Source organism: Homo sapiens, chromosome 18 (genome assembly GCF_000001405.40).
Source record: "Homo sapiens chromosome 18, GRCh38.p14 Primary Assembly".
NCBI lineage: Eukaryota > Metazoa > Chordata > Mammalia > Primates > Hominidae > Homo > Homo sapiens.
In genome coordinates, this window is record NC_000018.10 from 71,003,290 (window position 1) to 71,026,994 (window position 23,705).

The 23,705-nt window shown below is 37.5% G+C and overlaps 1 annotated feature.

The window, feature by feature from the left end:
- Positions 8,356-8,435: an enhancer, noted in NCBI's record as "active region_13488". NCBI's record gives its function as "activates an Ori minimal core promoter by ATAC-STARR-seq in GM12878 lymphoblastoid cells {active_cell/tissue: GM12878}" and the evidence as "EXISTENCE:reporter gene assay evidence [ECO:0000049][PMID:35858748]".

A 23,705-nucleotide genomic window follows, 5' to 3' on the forward strand; every position in this document is an offset into this window, starting at 1 on the left:
AAGCTACGACCCCTTCCCTAGAAATTTCTGCATAAACCACCCCTTAACCTGCATGCAATTAAAAGTGGGTATAATTATGACTGCAAAACTGCCCTGAGCTGCTACTCTCTGCCCATGGGGTAGCCCTGCTCTGTAGGAACAGTCACAGAGTTGTAACACTGCCTCTTTAATAAAGCTGTTTTCTTCTACCTCTGGTTTGCTCTTGAATTCCCTCCTGGGCAAGTCCAAGAACGCTTGTAGACCAAGCCTTACTTTGGGGCTTGCCTTCCCTGAATCAAAACTGTAACAGGGCAGCTCATACCTGAGCCACTACGTTAAAATTAAGAACACAATGATGTGTTTCTTCGGAAGAAATGCAGTGGGAGTCTCCATGAAAAAGTCATAGTCCAGCTCAAATAGTTACACTGGATGATGGTACACCCATCCTTCTTTCCCTCACCACTGAAGATGGCTAAGCCAGGATTCTGCAGCCCAACCCCGAAAGACTCACACCGTTCCTCTCTAGAAAGGAGGAACTCAGCTCCCTGCACTGTTCTGGCCATGACTCCTGATGGACCCAAAATGCTGCTTTATCTGTTTTAATAGGAATTGTAATGCTATGGTTGTGCACCACGGATGGAGAACTATGTCCCTGTTTTCTTAAAGTCAACAGGAAACATTACTGTACCTTAAGAGAGGATGTAGTTGTGTGCCAAGGCTGCAGAGCTATGTCTCTCTTTGGACAGTCAACAGAAAACATTATTGAACTTTAAGAGAGGATATAGAAAGTACTGTAGCATGGCTTCTTGAGACCCTGAGTGTTCCAGCAGGTAGTGAACAAGAATTTCTTTCATGTAAGTGATGTGGTTTGGCTCTGTGTCCCCACCCAAATCTCATGTCAAATTGTATCCCCAGTGTTGGAGCAGGGGCCTGGTGGGAGGTGATTGAATCATGGGGGTGGAATTCACCTTTGCTGTTCTCATGATAGAGTTCTCTTGAGATTTGGTTGTTTGAAAGTGTGTAGCACTTCCCCCTTCTTTCTTTCTTCCTCTTGCTCTGCCCATGTGAAGAGGAGCCATGCTTCCTCTTCACCTCTTGCCGTGATTCTAAGTTTCCTGAGACCTCCCCAGCCATGTGGAACTGTGAATCAATTAAACTTCTTTTCTTCATAAATTACCCAGTCTCAGGTAGTTTCTTATAGCAATGTGAGAAGGAACTTGTCAATGAAAAGAGTCAAACTCTGTAAAATATTTGAAGAGATTTATTCTGAGCCAAATATGAGTGACCATGGCCCATGAAACAGCCCTCAGGAGATCCTGAGAATGTGTATCCAAGGTGCTCGGGGCACAGTTTGGTTTTATACATTTTAGGGACGCATGAGACATCAATGAAATACATTTAGGAAATACATTGGTTTGGTCCAGAAAGGTGGGACAACTCAAAGTGGGGGCTTCCAGGCTACAGGTAAATTTAACATTTGCTGGTTGACAATTGATTGAGTTTGTCTAAAGACCTGGGATCATAGAAAGGAAATGTTCAGGTTAAGATAAAGGATTGTGGAGACCAAGGTTCTTTTGAAGTCTTAGAGTGGCTGCCCTTAGAGACAACAGATGACAAATATTTCCTATTCATATTTTTAAAGGGGGCTAGACTTTTAGTTAATCTCTTTAGGATTTGGAGGGCCTGGAAGAAAAAGATCTAGCTATGTTAATAGAGATTCCTTACAGATGCAAATTTTCCCCCACAAAGGACCGCTTTGCAGGGACATTTCAAGATATGGTAAAGAAACGTATCTTGGGGTAAAATATTTTTATTTTCTTCCTTGTCTTGTAATGTTATGCCAGAGCCAGGTTGGAAAGTAAGTCACAATATATAGGGTTAAAGAAAACCTGTCTGATGAGAATTTATGATTTGTGGGGCATGATTCCCCAGACCCCCTAGATAGGAATTTGGGTAAGATAAAAAGATCAGAGTTTAGTCCTCAAACTAATACAATAAGTTTCTACTTTCTCTCCAAGTATATCCTGTTTCTGAGTGGCAGGTGAAAGTTGTGTTTCCCTTCAACCACAGCACCTGGCCCAGAACCAGCCTTACCTGCTATCCACTGGTCTCTGGGTCTCTCTTTTTATGCCAATCTCCATCCCTTTCCTTAAATTCTTCCTCAGGATTCCCCTGAGTTACCCTGGAATCTGAATTCAGTTTACCCTTCCAAACCAAGAAATGCTGTTTATATCTGTGTTGTGATTACAAATAAGGTTCAAGTTTCTGCCTTCCACCCTCAAACATAAAGAAGGCTCACAGTATTCACCTGTGACCATGGACCTGCTCCAGCTGAGGAAGCCAAGAGATTTGTTTCTTTTCCCCTCCCTCCCTTCCTCCTTCCTTTCCTGCTTTCTAAAATCATAATGTGTAACTTTTCCATGAAGGGAGCAGGAATTCACTCAATCCTACTCAATCATCTCTTCCAGGCCATGTGCTTTTTTCCCTTGATTTTCAGTTTTGGAAGAACTATTTATGTGTAAATAGCATCCTTTCTATCTGAATCTTCCATAATTAACCATCTTTTGTTAACTGTTCCAATAGACAACTAATTTATCTGAAAATAAATTATTAAATTACATTGTATTCCAGCTTTAAAACAAGCATTGCAAATACTTTCAAATTAGATAATTTCTTTCGATATTAGGAGCTAAATAAAATCAAAACTGCCCACCAGATTTAAACTATTCAGAAATGCACTAAAAGAAAGCCAAAGATAGATTATAATAACTTGAGGCTCTTGAAAAATATTTGCCATTGGTAGAATATCAAATGAAACATTTTGAAAAAACATACTGAGAAATTGGAAATGTTTTGCATGTCTCTTAGAAACACACGCCAATGTAAGCCATGAAGCAGATATCTTTTTTATCTTCTTTTACTTAAACATACAGCTGATGTTGAAAAATTAAACATTTTATTTTTTTATTTTAATTTTTATCTCATATCATCTAAATCAGTCATATATTTATAACAAGCCAAAATGCTTTTCAGTATTTTCCTGTTACCATAACCACATGAATTATGAATTTGCCTTTGGAAAGATGTCTTTCTTTCCCTTAGGGTGAGTTTTATTCGATCATTAGAAACAGATGAGTTCCATTTAAATGATAAAGTTTCTCTACAAGTAAAGACAAAGTTACAGAATTCTTTCCATTGTTTATTTCCTTAATTTCTCAAAAAAATGTTGGTAAGTTATAAAAATGAAAACCAAGAGATTATTTTTAAAATGTTTTAAAATCATATAGCTCTCAGCATTATAATATCTTATTAGGAAATATTTCCCTTCTTCTTGTTAGCAAAAACATATATTTTTAAAATTCCCTATTGTTCCACCACTCCAACATATCAACTGTCTCCACTATATATTTTAAAAATTTTAATTAATATGCCTATACATATTCTAATCAACTATTTTTAGAATAGTTTTAGATTTTATAGAAATTTTGAGAAGATGGTAAAGAGGGTTATCGTACACCTCTCACCCTGTTTCCCTATTATTAACATCTTACATTAGTATGGTATATTTGTTATGGCTAATAAACTAATAGTCATATATTATTATTAACTAAAAGTCCACAGTTTATTCAGATTGTCTTTCTTTTTGCCTAATGTTCTTTTTCTGTCCCAGGAGCCCATCCTGGGTACCACATAACACTTACTTATGCCTTCCTTGGCCCCTCTTGACTGTGATATTTTTTCAGACTTATCCTCTATGATAACCTTGACAGTTTTGAGAAATGGTGGTCAGATATTTGTAGAGTGCCCCACTATTGGAATTTGCCTGGGGTTGTAAGTTATGGGAAGGAAGGCTACAGAAGTAAAGTACCGTTTTCATCAAATTATATGAAGGCTATGTATTATCAACATGAATTATGACTGTTGACATTAACCTTGGTCGTCTAGTTAAGGGCGTGTTTGTCCTATTTCTCCATGTTTTTTGCCTCCTTTCCCTTACTGTACTCATCGGAAGAAAGTCACTAAATGCAGCCAACATTTAAGGACTGGGGATTGATACTTCCTGTCCTGGGTGGCAGAGTATCTACATAAATTGTTTGGAATTATTCTGCATGGGATATTTGCTAATTCTTTCCCATTGGTAGTTTACTCAATAATGTATGCATATCATTATGGACTCATGAATATTTTCTTTGTCCTTTGGGTTACAATTCAGTGCCACTTTGCTTATTTTGGTGCCCAAAGTGTCTCAGGTTAGGCTACTGGGAACTCTTTCAGGAGGCTTCTGGTTCCTTTGACATACCCCTGTAAGTGTATATGTTATTTTTCTTTTGAGCCCTTTCTTACTTTCTGGCACTATCAGGTACTCTAAGTTCATCTTGTGTATTTCTTGTCTCTGTCCTGGAATCAGATAACTCTTCAAGGATCCCTGATTTATTTTACTGAAGAATGGGATCTTAGAGGCTAATATTTGGGAAATTGGTGTGCTTGTGACTACGGTTATCATTATTTATAGGGCTGCCTAGATGACAGAGCAAGTAACTAAATGTGTGTATAATAAACCAAATATATACATATACATCTCTAAAAATATCTTCATATGTAACCATCTATACCTATATTAAGCTAAACATGAGTACATATGAATGTATCCAACTTTAATCAATTACTACCTGGAATACTCTACCCTCCTCCACTATGTCTTTGTAAATTCCCATTCCAGCAGTGAGAAATCTGTCTCCCATCGTCCATTACCTGTATATTTAATTGTTCACTTCCAGTCTATATGTGTAGCAGTACCAACATTTTGAACCTGAACCCCTGTTGCCTATATATTTTTGAATGATAAGAACAATAGGGTACATGTAGTTTTGCATCCTGGCTTTTTAATCAAAAATTGACCCTAAAGTTAAGCTAAGGATCCCCAGAAATCTTTGGGTAAGTGAGTCTTATTCCTCTTCTGCAGTTCTGGGCTCAGGAATGTGTTGGACAAAGCCTTGGATGACTGGAGAGGCTGAGAGTGTTGAACGAGAAGTTTAATTACATCTAAGTGAACTTCATCACCCTGTAGTTCCAAAATCATGCTGTGCATTGTGTAATTGTGAAGTAGATGTGGTGGATCTAGCCCAGGTCAGGGGATCTCAAAAAATATCTAGGTTTGGGCTCATGTAGAGCTTCTCTGTTCTGAGAGATAAGGCCTTCAGAATTTCTGATGCAATGTTCTCAGTCTAGATTTTATCATCCATTTTGTGAGCCACTGGTGAGGTTTGGGGGGGCCGGGAAGTTTACATCACCCTATAAGACTGTTGCTGATCTCTCTGCTACGTGTCCTGAGCCCAGAACTGCAGAAGAGGAATAAGACTCACTTACCCAAAGATTTCTGGGGATCCTTAGCTTAACTTTAGGGTCAATCTTTGATTAAAAAGCCAGGATGCAAAACTACATGTACCCTATTGTTCTTATCATGCAAATATATATAGGCAACAGGGGTTCAGGTTCTTTCTATATTATCTAGATAGATAAGTAAACTTTGTTTAGTTTACACAATATTGTCCATGTCTGGTCTTTCTGCTTCTATTGACACCTGTCAATACTGGTATTCGTGGTATAGATATAGTTATGTCACTATAGGATGGGGCAATAAAAAATTGAAGTATGATGTTCTCTTACATGTGTGCATTATAAGTCATTTAACATTTTCTCTATTTTTGATCACTTAGGTATTTGTCCATTTTGAAAAAAATTATCAGGCTTAAAATTGGCCCCTTGTTGGCCTTCTTACCAAATGTCATATGATTCTCTCATCAGCAGCATCACTGACCAGATTTTAAAGAGACTATCCCTGAAAGAAAAATGCTCCATTTAGAAAGCCTGAGACTAATCATCCCCATCACAGGAACATTATGACCCTCCCTCTTCTTTACGTGTTCTTATTTTTTGTGTACACAATTGTTTCCACTCTCAGAAGTTTTTACCATCCTCTGATGACAGAAATAATGTCTTATTCAAGTTTATCAAGCCTGTGTTCTCCCATGACTTTGCAAAATGCTTCCTGTATGGTAGGTACTCAAAAAATGTTTATTAAATTGAATATTAAAGGTAATCAGAGCAATGCTATTGTCCTAATAACCTCAAATAGTCCCATATCCAACCTTTCTCCCCGAGAAGCTTTTCAGGACTTCTCCAGTCCACATGGCTCTCTCTCTTTCCAACACTCTGTCAGCATTTTACAACTCCGCTTCATAAATGCTATCTAATACTTCATGAGTATTAGATTTTCAGCTTATCCAGGGCACAGCCTCTGCCACATTTTTCCCCTTTGGAGTCCTTATAAGTGTCTGCCATGGCGCTCTCCTTATAGTGTAAGTCAATAGAACTTATAGGTTGCTTACTAACCTGGACTCCAGCAGATTTTTACTGAGTCAAAATGACAATCAAAATGTTCATGTTGAACAAATGAAAAATATGTCTAATAGGTGAGAAAAAAATCAGATAAAGTATACTCAAGCTGATTGTTGCTCATTGTTTTGGCCATTTACTTGTAAGCCTTTGGGGGAAAATCATTAGCAATTTCAACAATGTAAGGTGTATTATTTTGTTTGTTTCAAGAATAAGCAAAGCAGAACCTTTTTTTTTTTAAACAACAACCAAAAGAAAAACCCATATAGATTGACACAGAAAGTTCTCTGATATTACAAAGTACCAGAAAAATATATTGGAAACCTTCAGCTACAGCAAGCAACAATTTATAAGTGCCATTTCTTTCATCTTATTTGACAGACTATCTCAACAGACACAGTTATTTAGTCAGCCAGTCTAGAAAGTTGTTAAAAGTATGGCAGCCATCCTGCTTACTTTAAATTTATTTTTATACAGTCTGAAACCAGACATTGCTATATACTTTGATATATAGGAAATAATTTATTTATAATAAGTGATTTATCATCATCTTTGCCTTAATCATTTTGAAGAAGATTAAGATTAAATTATTCCAAATCATTTTAAGGGTCTAGCCAAATGGCAACATTTGCATTCCAATTAGTCCTGAGGTGTACAAAGAGTTTTTGAGGGGACAAAAATTGTACGGTATTACGTGTGAAGCCAAGTTTATTATTATGGTTCTTTTGTAAAGAGTATTTGCTTGAAAGAAACATAAACCCAATCAAGCTAAGTCAAATAAAGAGGAGTTAATGAAATGAGAGATGCACATCATAGCCCAGCATCCTGAGATCCAGAACTGGAGAAAAAGTGGCACTGGGGATTCTTAGCTACTTCCAGTAACAGTTTCTCTTTTAATTCAAACTTGTTTGATTGCAAGGAGCAAAAATCTCCTGAAACCAGTGTAAAAAAGAGGGCTTCTTTTATTTATTTTTTTAATCAATACACATTTCTTAGTTTATCAGATTTTTATGATTTTTAATACCTCTGCTGATAACTTCTTAATTCATTACTTTATTGGCCAGTCTTTCTCCTTTCTCTGATCACTATATATTTTTTTTTTTTTTTTTTTTTTGAGATGGAGTTTCACTCTTGTTGCCCAGGTTGGAGGGCAGTGGCACAATTTCGGCTCACTGCAACCTCCACCTCCTGGGTTAAAGTGATTCTCCTGCCTCAGCCTTCCAAGTACCTAGGATTACAGGCACGTGCCACCATGCCTGGCTAATTTTTGTGTTTTTAGTAGGGATTGGGTTTCGTCATGTTGGTCAGGCTGGTCTCAAACTCCTGACCTGAGGTGATCCACCCACCTTGGCTTCCCAAAGTGGTGGGATTACAGGCATGAGCCACCAGGCCCGGCCTCTCTTGTCACTTTTTATAAAATTGCAATCAAATCCAATTGCTAGTTCCCTTATTCCCCTGACCCCACTTTGCTTTGCACCATTTAATATAGTTATATCTCTTTTTTTACTCATTTATTTTCTACTTCCTCTCTCTTTCCCATTAAAATATACGGCCTGAGGGCTCATATTTTGTTTTGTTCATTGCTCTATTTCTAGCATATAGAATAGTGCATGATATAAAGTAGAAGCTCAGTATTATTTCATTCATTCAATGAATAGATGAATCAAAACCTAAAAAGTTGTATCATAATAGCAAAGCATAGAATATTTAGCTGGTTTGCCTTAGAACTGTGTTAAAGGATAAACTTAGGCACACTGAAATTCTAAAGAGTTTACCTGAGCAGATGGGGACTCATGAATCTAGCAGTACCAGACCACATGTTGCTCAGGGCTTCACCAAAGGGCATTAGGGGAAGACTTTTTAAATAAGGTGAACACGGAGATAAGGCAAGGAAAATATTTGATTGGTTAAAGTGAAGCAGTAGCCTTTTTTGGGTTGTTCCAGTGGAAAGTCCCTAGTTAGAGGTTAGTTGGTGATTTCTGACGGGTTAAGCTTAAGTTTTGTTTTACTATTTATACTGAGTTGGGTTTCTGTTTGCTTACATAAGAACACAGGGCTCTGGAGATACTTCAACTGATCATGAATAGTCTCCCAATTAATTATTTGAACAATTGGAAGTTTATGACAGCCCTTGACAGCAGTAACATAGCTTAAGCATACCCTGAAAATGACCCTATGGTCTAAGAAGAATATGTGTTTGGAGTCCCAAGCCAAGGAATCCTGGAGTGGCCAACCCTGAGATTCATTCCTTATCTATGAAGGACATCTGACCCTCTGACCCATCCCTTGGAATGCAGGTTATATAGGGAATTAAGGCCCTTTGTTTTGGATTAGATAGAGGGTGCTAGGTGGGGCTTGCTAGATGGAGGTGGCTAAATAAAAATGCTATACAAACTGCATGCTTTTTTACAAACAGTAGTGGTTCTCCTGTCCAGTCCACTGCCATGGGGCCATCCCTGTATATAAGTCCCCCAACAAGCCCTATGCCTCATTTGCTGTCTTTGGGTCTTTTCTTTGACCTCTTGGACCCAGTGCCATCCCTACTGAAGTGAACCAGCCTCCGGCATCACATCCCCTCCCCATGCCCCGCCACTGCAGACTCCTGAATCTTTCTATCAGGTTAGTCTAGAAACAGATCTTGGTAAATTCTCACTGGAGAATGGATTGGCTTCTTTCTGATCATGATTCCAAACCTTAGCTAATCCACTGTATCCAGGGTCTGTTGATGTACATCTAATGGCACAGGTGCATTCTTTCAGCAGCTATGCTGTGTGAGGCAATGGCTAGAGAAGGGAGTTTGAGCCTGAGTTACATTTCTTTTTTTTTTTAATATATATATTTTTATTATACTTTAAGTTCTAGGGTATATGTGCACAACGTAGCAGGTTTGCCACGTTGGTGTGCTGCACCCATTAACTCGTCATTTACATTAGGTATATCTCCTAATGCTATCCCTCCCCCTCCCCCTGGTGTGTGATGTTCTTAACTGTTCCAAAACTATTGGTATTATTTTCCTTTCTATTCTACAGAGAATCACATCTTTTACTCATTCATTTTAAAATGTTGTTTAGACTTCAGCTATGAGCGGCCATTACTCTAGATGCTGGTGACACAGCCAAAAATGACAACATCTCTGCCTTCTTTTCTGGGAATGTTCCATAGCACCCTATGCTTTCCACCTCTCACAATATTTCTTAAGCACAATCTTTTTAGACATTTTCACACTAATTACTTTCCTCCCTTTATGTTGTACTTTCTCATTTGAAAGAGATAGAGTAGCGGTCATCTGAGCAGTTTTCTGGCTGGACAGATCTTTATGACACATTTCCTGATTTGATTAGCACATGAGGGCAAAACTTTGGCAAGGTTAATGAGTTGCTCCCAGATATCAAGATGGAAAATAAGTTATATTTAATACCTGGCTACTTACTGTCTAATAAAAAACTTATCCATATCATGCAAATCTGGCATAAAAATGATTTCAGGCCTGAAGACTTGAAAGACCACACCTCATGCTTTTACAAAGGACGCACAGTGTTGGTTATTTGAATTTAGATCACTGTCTGAATCTCCTACTGGCATTCTTTGCTTACTTGTTCTACTTTTGACTTCCTAAGGCCCCAGGTATCTGATGATTACCATCATTTTAAAATCACTTTAATTTTGCTTTTTAAAATTCCCTATTCATCCCTTGCTGCTATTAATTAATACCAGAGGACCACTTACTTTTGTTGCTGCAGGAAAGGTATTTTCCTCAGTATGGACATCTTTATTAGTAGGTTTCTAAATAATGACTTGGTTATTGTGAATATTAATTTTAGATATTTGGTGTATGTGTGCATATTTGTGTGTCTATAAGAGTTTATATAGCCATAAAGTGGGATGCTCAAATTAAATTGTGATGAACTATAGTGAGTACAGAAACTAAAGGGTAGAGTTAAATTCCAAGAAAATTTATCCAGGTTAAGAATTTCTAGAATTTTATTGTATATTGAAATTATTTTCTTTTTTTGCTTATTGTTTAGTTGGAAATATTTCAAATGAGAAAAACTACCATGTACCAATGTAATCAGACATAACAATTATTAACATTTTGTTATATCTGTAACACATCTTTATGTTAGATACTATTTAAAAGTTCCCTGTGAAGATGAATGACACATTTTCCATTTTGTTTTATATTTTTGCATTAAAGTTTATTTACTTTGATACTACTGTTATTAAACCATTTTTCTTGGTAATTATTTATATGATACATAGTTTCTATACTTTTCTCTCAAACTTTGCCATTATCTTTTAGATATATTTCTAGTTAAGTGTATATAGCTGAGTTTATAATATCTATTTTGAGAATCTCTGCCTCTTAAAAGGTCAAGTTACATATTTAAACTTATATCTGCTATCTTAATTTATGTTCCCCAGTAGCCATTCTTTTTTGTTTGTTTATTTCTGTTTGAAATTGAGGTATAATTCACATGCAGTATAATTTACAATTTTGGTGTGCAGTTCTATGAATTTCGACAAATACACAAAGGCCTATAATCACCAAGACAATAAAGATATAGAGCAGTTCTGTTACAGGTAGTTAGACAGGCATGAGTGGGGCAGGAGGGGGTTCTTCCGCCACCCAGTAAGAACGTTGGGTGATGATTCTGCATTTATCACATTGCTTCTCTAAAAGTGATAAATTAGCAGCCAGTGCCAGGGAGAGGCCATTTCCTGATGGTCCACACCTGTTGCACTAAAGTGTTAACTGAATGCAGGCACCAGGGAGATGCAATTTGCCAGGCATGTGCATTAAGAGACAATGGTGGAGTATGACTTTCCAGGGGCACTCCACTGGAAAAGGGAAGAAAGCCTCAGATGGGCATGTGTACAACTTCTTAAACGCACTGTGCATACTCACCTTCCAAGGGTAAGGAGGACACGGCACATGTGGGCAGCTCATCCTAAGGAAAGAATCATGGGAAAGGGGCCAGCCTATAAAGTCCTAGGACCAAGGCTCAATACCACACTTGCCCTTCAAGTTGCCTGCTTGGGTCTCTTTCAAGCATACTTTCCCGTTTTAAAGCCTTTTTAAATAAATTTCTACTCCTGCTCTGAAAATTGCCTTGGTCTCTTTTTCTGCCTTATGCCCCTCAGTCAAATGCTTTCTTCTGAGGAAGTGAGAATGGAGGTTGCTGCAGATGCATACACATTCACCACTGTTAACTTGGATACCTTTCACTGGTGATAGTTCCACACCCTCCAAAGTTCTCTTGCTACCTTTTGTAGTAATCTCTACACATTCCACCCCCACCCTTACATCAACTGTTCTCTTTTCTGTCCCTAGAGTTTTGTCTTTCCCCAAGTATCACATAAATATAATCATACAGTATAAAGTGTTTGAGTTGTCCACTTATCATGATTAATCTGAGATTTATTTATGTTGTAATATCACTAGTTTATTCCTTTATATTCTTTACTAGTATTCCATTGCAGTGGTATATTGTGATATATTTATCCATTCACTAGTTAAAGGATATTTGGGTTGCTCCCAGTTTTCGATGATTATAAAAAAATACTATAAATTTTATGTTCGTGTTTGTAGCAATGTAAGTTTTTGACTTGAGTAAATACCTAGGACTGGGACTGCTGAGCCTTGTGATAAATGAATGGCAATCTGTATAAGAAACTGCCAAACTGTCTTCCAAAGCATCTGTTTCATTTTGCATTTGCACCAGCAGTCTGTGAACATTTCAGTTGTTCTGCATCCTGGCTGCAGTCTGTTATTGTTGGTTTGTGTAACTTTTTTAAAATTTTAGGTATTATAAAAGATATGTAGAAGTATGTTATGGTGGTTTCGATTTGCATTTGCCTAATGGCTATGCAAAAATCTTTTTATGTGCTTGTCATCTGCATTTCTGCTTGGTGAAATGTTTGTTCAAAATGTTTGCCCAACTTTTTAATTATTCTTTTTCTTGATGATTACTTACAAATAATAAAAGATTTACAGGAAGTTGAAGAGATGATACAGAAGTTCTCTGTACTCTGTCCAGTTTTCTCCATTGGTTTAGTTACTATAGTACAATATTAAAACCAGTAAATTTACATTAAAGTGTGTGTATAGTTCTATGTAATTTTATCTCATGTGTAGATCTGTGTAATTACCACAGTAATCAATAGCTGTTAAATTGATTTTCTCCCTTGGTTTTCTGCTTGCAATTTCACAGCTTTCTGTTTTTTTGTTTGTTTGTTTTGTTTTATTTTTTGAGATGGAGGCTTACTCCATCACCCAGGCTGGAGCACAGTGACGTGATCTCAGCTCATTGCAGCCTTTGTCTCCCGGGTTCAAGTGATTCTCCTGTCTCACTCCCATGAGTAGCTAGGATTACAGGCATGTGCCACAGTGCAAGGGTAATTTTTCTATTTTTATTGGAGATGGGGTTTCACCATGTTGGCCAGGCTGGTCTCGAATTCCTGACCTCAGGTGATCAGCCCACCTCGGCCTCCAAAGTGATGGGATTATAGGCATGATGGCACCTGGCCTAAATTCACTGCTTTCTGATCTTCTCTGTTTTCTTCCTTCCACTTGCTTTGGGTTTATTTTTTCTTTTCCTAGTACTGAGAAATTAGATTATCAATTTGATATATTTTTTCTTTCTAATGTAAGCATTTTCATGTTATTAATTTTCCTCCCAATACTGCTTTAGCTGTATCTCAAAACTTGACATGTTAAATTTTCAATTTGACATGTTGGATTTTTATTTCCATTTATTCATTGTAGTTTTAAATTTCCATTGAGACTAATTATTTGACCCATGGATCAGTTAGAGGTGTATTTCTTAGTTTTCAAGGGTTTGAATTTTTCTTTTTGCTACATTTCTGTTATTGATTTCTAGTTTAATTTTATTGTGGTCAGTCAATGATGGGGTACATAGATGATGACTATTTCATAAGATTATAATACCATATCTTTACTATACCTTTTCTATGTTTGAATACAAAAATACTTACTATTGTGTTACAGTCACTGACAGTATTCAGTGTAGAAACAATACACTAAACCATGTAGCCTTGGTGTGTAGTAGGCTATACCATCTATGTTTGTGTGAATACACTTTTTGGTGTTTATACAATGATAAGATTTCTTAACGATGCATGTCCCAGAATGTAGCCTTGTCAGTAAGTAACGCACAACTCAATTTCAATAATTTTAAATTTATTGAGGTTTGTTTTATGACCCTGTAAATAGTCCATCCTGATGACTTCTCCATGTACATTTGAAAAAATGTATATGTGCTGTTGTTGGTGAGGGCCAATCCTTTGATGGTTTTGTTGAATTCTTCTGTATCTTCATTCTGATCAATTTTTGCTTCTTATGTTTTGTACTTCTGTTTGGTGCATACATATTTAGAGCTAACATATGCTTGTGGATTGATTTTCTAAATCATTTTGTAATGCCCCATTTGTCTCTATTAATATTCAATTTGTTAGTATTTTATTTAAGGTTTCTGCATCTATATCCATAAGGGATATGATTAATTAATTATCTGTAAATGCCTAAGTCTAGTTTTAGTATCAGAATAATACTCTGTCCATAAAATAGGCCTTCCTCTTATGTTGAAGAGCTTAAGGAGAATTGCTATTATTTATTAACTGACCTAATTCACCCATAATGTCATCTAGGCCTGGAATTTTCTTTGTAGAAAGCCTAACTATAAATTCAGTTTCTTTAGTAAACATAGGGCTACGTGGCTTACGTATTTCTTTTTGAGAGAGATTTGGCCATTTTTGTTATTCAATGATCTTTTCAATTTCATCTAAATTGTCTAATTATAGGCATAGACTTTATAATATTTTCTTATTGTACTTTTAATGTCTATAGGATCTATAGTGATGTCTCTTTTATTCCTGATGTTGGCAATTTGTGTTTTTTTTTTTCCTGTTGGTCTATCTAGCTAGAGATTTGTCAGTGTTAGTAATCAGTTCAAATAACTCCCTTCTGATTTTGTTGATAAGCTCCATTAATTTTTCTGATTGCAATTACATTGTATTTTTATTTTTTTTCTATTTTCTATCTTGCTGTGAGTTTAAGTTGTCCTTCTTTTTCTACTGTCTTGAGACCAAGATTGAAATTATTGTCTTGAGAGGCTTCTTCTTTGATAATATAAGCATGTAATGCTATAATCTTCCCTTTAAGCATTGCTTTATTTGCATTTTACAAATTTTGATATGTTGTGTTTTAACTTTTGTTTCATTTAAAATATTTTCATTTCCATTTCCTTTTAATAATATATTATTTAAAAATGTTGTGTTTAAATTCAAAATCTGACCCTGATGTAGCTTAAGTGATTAATAACTGTACTTTAGCAATGGAAGATATTCCAGTCAGTTTGATCTCACTAATTCTCATTCTGATTCTAAAAATGATGGAATTGCCCCTGATTTTCTTCTTGCAAGCAAAGGTGAAGTCTGTATAACCACTAATACTTCTGGCTGCACTTTTATTATTACCCTGTGTCAAGAGAGAAGGGTCAATATAGAAACTTAAGAAAACTACCTGGATTTCTAAGATGGTTTATGGGATTGTTCAGCTGTTTTGTCATGGTTTCTTGGGTGCATAGTTGAAATTAATGTCGCAAATTAGCTTTACTAAAGAATCACTAGCTGCTTAAGATAGTTTTGTAGTACTTCACATAAAAAATGATTATAGCTTTGACTAGGATATTGGCAATAAATGTAAAGTTCTCTTATAGAAATATTTTGAAAGTAAAATTGACAAAAAAAATTGTCATGGAATTGATATGCACATGAAGGAGTTAAACCTTTTATGTGTGGTCCAAGTATTCTGCCTCATGCCAAAAAAGATTTTTGGCAAAAAAGAGGTTCCAACTAGGCAATCAAAATTAGTGTGAGGAAGTCAGGAAGATGATCATTGCTTTGGTCTTGAACATTCCTAGTTTGAGTGGGTCTCATAACCTTGAAAATCATGGGGCCCAAGAAAGTCTGATGCCAAGCTCAATATCATAGGGGCAGGAAATTATACTCTTAAAATTGGAGTAAATATAATTGATCAATGATTTAATCTACTCAGGTACAGTAAGATCTTATGTAGGCAGTCAAATACATAGGTTTCACCTTAAAGAAGAAACATATTTGTATTTCTCTGTGTATGATTGATGTTGGTTGGTATTTCCTAAAGTGAATAGAATAGAATGAGAAGAAAAGAACCTTGAGGAATTCTAACCTCTGTTAAACAAGTAGATGATGGGGACCTACAAATGAACAGAGCAATTGTGGGCAGAAATGTTGGACAAAACTAGGAATATATATATCACCAAAGCCAAGGGAAGGAAGTGTTTCAACCAGGAAGTGGAGATCAAGATAAAAACCAAGAGTTCTGATTGTTATTGAGCCTGTAAATACAATGAAGTCTAAAATTAACTATTTGATTATATGGCTTATATGTAAAAATATCTCCTAACATCCAGCATTTCCTTAACTGTAAATATAACTTTTTGGCTTATGGTATTTACTGCCTTTTTTTTTCAGGTAACACTACCTATTTTCTATAATTGCTATGCTGAATTTTTGTAACTTTGTTGTTTTTATCTGATGGATAGATAAGGAAGGCAGGTAATTTAAAAAGTAATCTATAAATAAAGATGAAAGGCCTGTTCATATAATTTAGAGATATTTATAATGCTTACTGGCAGGTGCTATGAAATATGCCAAGAATCCACTAGAAAGATATATAAGAAGTTTGAAATTGTTTTTATGATGCTGAAAAGAGGCTGAAATTTTAAAATATTGAAAATATGTTGGAATAATGAATAATAAATATTATCTTTCAATATTCTGGAATAAGAGTCTTCAAAACTACTTGGATTGAAACACCATTATGCACTGTGATGGTTTAAATGTTTTTCCTCTTCAACACTCATATTGAAATTTAATTGCCATTGTAAAGATATTGGGAAGCCTGTGATTTTTTTTTTTTTTTTCAAGACAGAGTCTCACTTTGTCTCCCAGGCTGGAGTGCAGTGGCACAATCTCAGCTCACTGCAACCTCTGCCTTACAGGTTTAAGCAATTCTCCTGCCTCAGCCTCCCGAGTAGCTGGGATTACAGGCGTGCACCACCACACCTGGCTAATTTTTGTCTTTTTAGTAGAGATGGGGTTTCACCATGTTGGCCCGGCTGGTCTTGAACTCCTGACCTCAGGTGATTCACCCACCTCAGCCTCCCAAAGTGCTGGGATTACAGGCATGAGCCATAGTGCCCGGATCTTTTGCCTATCTTGAATTGTGCCTTGAGACTCACCCATGTGGATGAGACTATGGACAATAGACTTTTGAGCTGATTCTGGAAGGAGTTAAGACTTTTTGGTCTTTTGGGATGGAATGGATATATTTTGTGAGATGGACATGAGTTATGGTGGGCTGGAGGCAGGATACCACGATTTGAATATTTACTGCAAAACTCATGTTGAAATTTAATTGCCATTGTAACAGTATTAAGAGGCTTAGCCTTTAAGTGATGATGACGTCTTTATTCTTATGGGGATGCTTGGTGCCATTATGATAGGGCAAGTTTGGCTCACTCTTGCTCTAGCTTTCCCTCTCGCCTCTGCCATGTATCTACGCAGCAAGAAGTCCCTCACCAGATGCTGGCACCATGATATTAGACTTCTCAGCCTCCAGAACTGTGAACCAACAAATTTCTGTTTATTATAAGTTACCCAGTGTCAGGTATTCTGCTATAGCAGCATAGAACTAACTAAGACATGGGCTTATATTAAATCTTCATGTATTTCCTTGAATTGAAATTTCGTAAGCCCATGGTCTGAAAGGTCTCTTGCAACAGCACTTATTTCAGGCTAACCCTGAAGCCTTTGCATGATTAGAAAGAAAATACTTGGGCTAATCTCAGTGTTTCTCCATTCATATTCTCTACTTCCTATTAGTAATTGATGAATCACTTATCCACTATAATTCGAGCAGAAGTTGGCTTTATATGAAAGAAGAAGAAATTTGCTGATCTTTGAGTTTGCCACTGTTATTTCAATAGCTGAATACTATGTTCACTTTTGGACTAGATCTACCCATTAATTAACTTGGTTTTACACCATTGAAACCATAGCTTCTAAGACCAATGTAGAATCAGGCTTTTCCAAGAAAATATATATGGCCAAGAACTACTAACCTCTGAGTAAGTGAAATTGAGGACATTCATGCAGAGTTGTGTAATTGTGTACTGCACTAGGCCCCACATCTAAGTGTGAGTCATTCACGTTGTAGACATCATAGATGTGTATATTGATTATGAAAAATTTCCTGGAACATGGCAGTAAAGTATCATTTTAAGAAAATCAATACATTATGCAAATTTTCCTATAAGTGGAAGTGAAGTATCTGGAGATAGGGATGCTTTTTAGTAATTTTTACAAATGTACCATATGAGCCACTGGTAACCCTGAGTACCTTCAAATGACTCAGTAGCGCATGATGTCCACTCAGCCATAAAGCTTTATTTCATAAGAAAGCATGGCCTACTTAGCAATAGAATTCTCTCCAAAAGTCACTCTTATGCTAATCCTGAAAAATACAATTCAACTATCACCACAAAAAAGATTCCGGAAAAAAAGTACCTATATTGTTACAACCCTAAGCATACCCTTTTTAGTTGCTAATCATTGGAAGAACAATTATACCACATACTTACATTTAAAAATGAGAAACTCAGAGCAATTTAAATGGCAAGCTTCCAGTTCTACAAAAATTATAAAACTATAAAATTGACTGACCTAAACTAAATGACTCAGTAGAGTGGCTGAGGAAAGGACAGTAGGAAAAAAGGTCCCTCACCACCCTCTGATGTTTCTTTCTTGGTTGCACGCTAGTAGTCAGATGCTAGATCAATATTAGCCATTTAGCAGTGTGTTAAGAGATGTGGCTTAGGTGACTGATACTGTACACAACTCACAGCTTATATTTACCTTCACTTGTAGTATTTTATCATTTGGGATGATAGTAGTAGAGTTTTTGTTTAATTAGAGATGCTAGGAATTATTACATAAAGACAAGACATTGAAATAAAAACATATTATAAAAAACATATCAGACATTTAAGTTCAGAGTTGGTAATTGGCAACTTAAGGCGTATTTGAAAGCCAGAGAGCCTCTATGGCAGCTGTAACGTATACAATTTTCTCCTGCAATTGCAGGTTGAACTGTGCTAAAAAACAGGCCAGGATTCATATTTTAATACTGGCCCAGTGACAAAAGAAGCTTTATTTGAAAATTTTCATGTTTTCTTTGTCCAACTCATGGTTCTTCTAGGGAAAATGGAACCCTGAGACATAGGATTGGAAAATTTGCGTTTTAAAAAAAAACTAAAAAATATTGACTCCAAATTACTTTAAGTTCTTCTGGGTAGCAAAAGTGGCTCCTATGTTTTGCCTAGAGATTGTCTTCTCACCTGAAGCAATGTCTAAGCAAAAGGATGCTTGCTTTCCTTAGGAACTATTCTCACCTCCCTTCCATGAGTTTAGGTCTCAATACAGCCTAAATAGAGAAATTCAAGCTCTATACACCAAAAGGATTTCAGGTCTGGCTAATATTTACTGGCAAAAACTAGAGAAACACATTTGGGAGTGAATCAAGAGAGTTAGGCTGAAGGGAGGAGATTAATATAAGGCGAAATAGATGTGTTAGTTTACTATAGGCGCTGTAACAAACTAACTTAATAACAGTGATTTAAAATAACATAGATGTGCCATCTTAGTATCCTGTAGGTCAAATGTCTAAAATGCATCAGCAAGGCTGTGTTCACTCTGGAGGCCCTGGGAAAGAAAGGATTTCCTTGCTTTTCTAGCTTTTAGAGGCTACCCACATTCCTTGGTTTGTTCTTCCTTCCTTGAATTGTTCCAACCTCTCCTTCAGTTGTCCTATCTTCTATTCTGACCCTCACTCTCCTGCCTCCCTCTGACCCTGTGATAACATTAGTCCTAATTGGATAATATCCCCATCTCAAGCTCCTCAACATAAACACATCTAAAATGCCCCCTATCCATGTAAGTTAACATGTTTGTTCACAAGCTACAAGAATTAGGACACGGACACATTTAGGGAGCTATTATTATGCTTACCACAATAGAAGAGAATTATTAACATAGGAGAGAATTATTAACACAAACTCTCCCATGTTTTAGAATTCGATGTTTTGCAAGGATACTTGGAACTCATTCTAATGATATTCTGGGATAGCCCTGAAATATAGTCATAACTGTTTCTACAGTAAACAAAGTAAAGATGCCAGAACATGCTGGCATAGTATTAAAGGCAAGTGAACTCAAGTGGTTACATGTATCAATATGGATATCTTAATGCCAGTCAAATAAACTATCACTTGACTGTGCTCTACAGGAGGGTCCAGAGAACATTTTCTTCACTAATGTGCTAAGAAAGCCATTGATGATGTGGACACCTGCATTTCTGAGAATCTCAGTAATGGCTTTCCTTTGTAGGTCTGTGTTTTCAGTGGAAGAAACTGCTGTGCAACTGAGTTTTCTATTATCAGCAGGAATGCTTGGATCCCTAAATGGCAGAGGCCAAGTATCAGTACTTAAACATGAAAGGTAGGATGGTCATTACTGCCACTATAGAAGTCAAGGCTACAGTGACAATCAATATGCTACAACTGTCAATAATATTTGGTAGTAGCTAACAGGCCATGGTATTCCTAGAAGACAACTAGACAGCTGTTTAGGGTATTGATCAAATTATATAATCAGAGAAATGTTAAGAGCTAAGTAGCAGAAGACTGACATCGAATTCCAGAATGGAAAATCAGGATTCCTAACTTAGGTCCCAGATTTCTACCAGTTCACAGATCCAGAGACTGCCATTTGGAATGAGCTTGGGTTGCCTTGAGGAAGGACCCTGAAAATCCTCCACAATTACATATTGTAAATGTTATTCTACTACCTCTCCTAGGAGTCCTGCAGCAAACCATAGGTTAACAGTACAATAAAGAAAAGTAAATACTCAGAATTTTCAGGGACGGTTAGATATAAGGTCTTATGACACTGATAGCAGGAGACACAAAATGGCACTATGGTTTTAAGTTACAGTGGGCATTAGAGGCCAAGTAATGTTGTGGGACTTTTCCTTAGTTTAGCGAAAGATGGGGTCCTTGTCACATAGCTACAAAAATTTAGGCTTGCAGATGATTTGAAGGGTGAGAAAGGCTGGGTTTTATTGGGTGAAAAGGAAAATAAGGGGAAACGGGGACTCTCTGCATAGCCAGAGTTCCCCTAGTGTGCTTCCCACCTTGCAGCTTGAATTCCAGGTCCCACCCAGGAAGAGGAGGGGCCAGGCTCCTCCCCACTGCAAATGGGCAAACTTCTGTGGCTCTACCCCAGTGTGGGCTCTTCCCAGTGCATAGACCAGTTAGAGTTCTGCCAGGGAGCCATTTCCACCTGGCTGTCTCAGTAATAAATGGAGTTTTGGTCTGAGTCAGTTGGTTAAAGAGATCCATGGACCAACACTGTAATTATTTCTCTGTTACCTGGATATATAATGGGCACAGACACCTTCAGCAGTGGGTAGAACATTATTCACATTGCTTCCCTAATGAGTAAAGGTGATTGTGGCAGGAGGAGCCAAATGGAAGCTTTGAATATGTTTATTATTTTCATCATCAAAGTTTTAAACTGAAGGGGAGGAAAAAAATTCTTTTCCTTCTACCCTTCTAAGTCTTTAGCTGGGATCCCTCTAATAAAAGACAGATTAGCTACAGAAAAACAAACAAGTTTATTAACATATTTATCTCATATGTACATGGGAAACACCCAAGAAAATTAGTAACTTGAAGAGGTGGCTTAGGGCTCTGACTTATACAGCATCTTTAACAAAAGACAATACATTTGTAGAAAATGACAGGACAAGGAAAAGTGAATTTAGGCTTCTAAGAGTGGCAAACTGTGAGAAGGGAAATATATGACAGCGAACTGATGGAATACGGTTTGCTTGCAGATTTCTCTAGTGCCATATTGAAACTGCCTTTGCAAAATTATGACTGAGACAGTGAAAGAGATCTAACTTAAATGACTCCATCTTGCTTCTAACCTCCATGCTGTCTTTGTTCATTCCTGGACGTAGGCTGAACTAACTTTGGGAGTAGTTTGTAGTTTATACTTTAAACAAAGACGGTAACAGCCCTTTCCCAAAGCAGACCTCCTTTTTGCCTGCGGACTAGACTAACACAGGATCAGAATTTATGTTTTAGGAGTCAGGTAGCTGGAGGCTACAAGATTCTGACCCTCCCTAAACTGCTCCTAAGATCAGTGCTTGAGATATTTTACAGACTCTGCACTTGATAGATCAGCTGGCACCACCCAGGTTATCTGATCTCTTGGCCGCCACCGCCACCGAGGAACTGACAAGAAGACAGCTTCCACTCCTGATGATTTCATCCGTGACCAATCAGCACTCCTGGCTCATTGGCTCCCCCTACCTCCACCCACCAAGTTATCCTTAAAAACTCTGCTCCCTGGCCGGGCGCAGAGGCTCACACCTGTAATCCCAGCACTTTGGGAGGCTGACGTGGGTGGATCACAAGGTCAGGAGACGGAGACCACCCTGGCTAACACGGTGAAACCCCGTCTGTACTAAAAATACAAAAAAAAAAAAAAAAAAAAAATTAGCCAGGCATGGTGGCGGGCGCCTGTAGTCCCAGCTACTGGGGAGGCTGAGGCAGGAGAATGGCATGAACCCAGGAGGCGGAGCTTGCAGTGAGCCGAGATCGCACCACTGCACTCCAGTTTGGGTGACAGAGCGAGACTGTCTCAAAAAAAAAAAAAAAACCTCTGCTCCCCAAATGCTTGGGGAGACTGACTTGGGTAATAATAAAACTCGGATCTCCCGCACAGCCAGCTCTGAATAAAATTACTCTTTCTCTATTGCAATTCCTCTGTCTTGATGAATGGGGCTCTGTCTAGGCAACAGGCAAGGTGAACCCACTGGGCGGTTACAATATCTCTGGACTGATAAGAGTCTGGAGTCTTCTCTATTAAGAGATAATATATATCCTGCCTTTAGGCATAAAAGGGGGAGGATAGAGAAAGCGTTTCCTGCATTTGCAGCATCTTAATTGCTTTTAGCTCAAAATAATTTTTATGTCAAAGAGGCATATGTTGGGGTGATACATTCTGGTTTCCTTTAATACCATAAGTAATTATTTATTCAGGTAAGAATTAAAGAGATGAAAACCACCATCAAAAATGCACAGGAAGTCGTCCTTATTCATCTGGCCTTTGTGAAAACAGATGGTTCAAGGTGGATGATGGTGCCCTACCATAAATTTAAACTGCGTGTCAGGGTCTAGGATTTTACCCTTCTTACAAGCTAGTGTGAGCCTGTTAATATTTAATTAATGCTAACAGAAAACATGAAACTCCTCAGTCAGAGACAAAATACCTTTTTATTAATGACACAGAAAGCTGCAGGGGCATTATGTTGGGCTGGTTTCCCCTGCTTCCAAGTCCTCAGGAGCAATGCAGAGTGGCTTAGGTGAATGTTGTGTATGCGGTGAATTTGCATCGCGATGGAGAAGCACAGAGATGGGGAGATGTAATGTCCAGAGGGAGACATTATCTCTTCCCTCAAAGTTACTTATTGGAAATTGTGCCCTGACAAATGGCCCAGGAAGGTATGTCTGGTGAGGACCTTTCATTCTTAGCATATCCAGAAAGAACATTCAGGGACACTTAATTCCAATGGCAGATTGCCTCTCTTAACATAGTGGAAGCTCCAATCACAGACGCCGTGTCAGATGTAATATTTTCAACAGAACATATCAACACAGCCTCTGGCACTTAGTACGTGGCCTTTTATCTGGCAACTGCTTTTTTCTCCATAACCATCATCAGTGAGGATTAAGAACAGTTTGCACTTAAATGGCAAGAATAGCAGCACACATTCACTGTCTTGCCCCAGGGCTATGCTACTTCTGCTGTCTTTCATAATGAAGTATATAGAGACCTCAGTAATCTTGATAGTCTAAAGAAAATCATGCTGGTCCACCCAATTCATGACATTGTGCTAATTAAACCTGGTAACTGGAAAATTATAATTCTCCTAAATGTTCCATAAAGGTACATGTATACCACGAAGTGGAGGATAAACTCCATCAACATTCAGGAGAAGGCCATACCAGTAGAGGGTATCAGTCATGCAGGGATATCTCCCTATAAGGCAAAGAGAAAGTTGCCATACTTTGCGACTATTACCATTAGGATACAAGAGATAAGTGGTTAATTTCGGAAGGCCACATTTACCTCCCTTA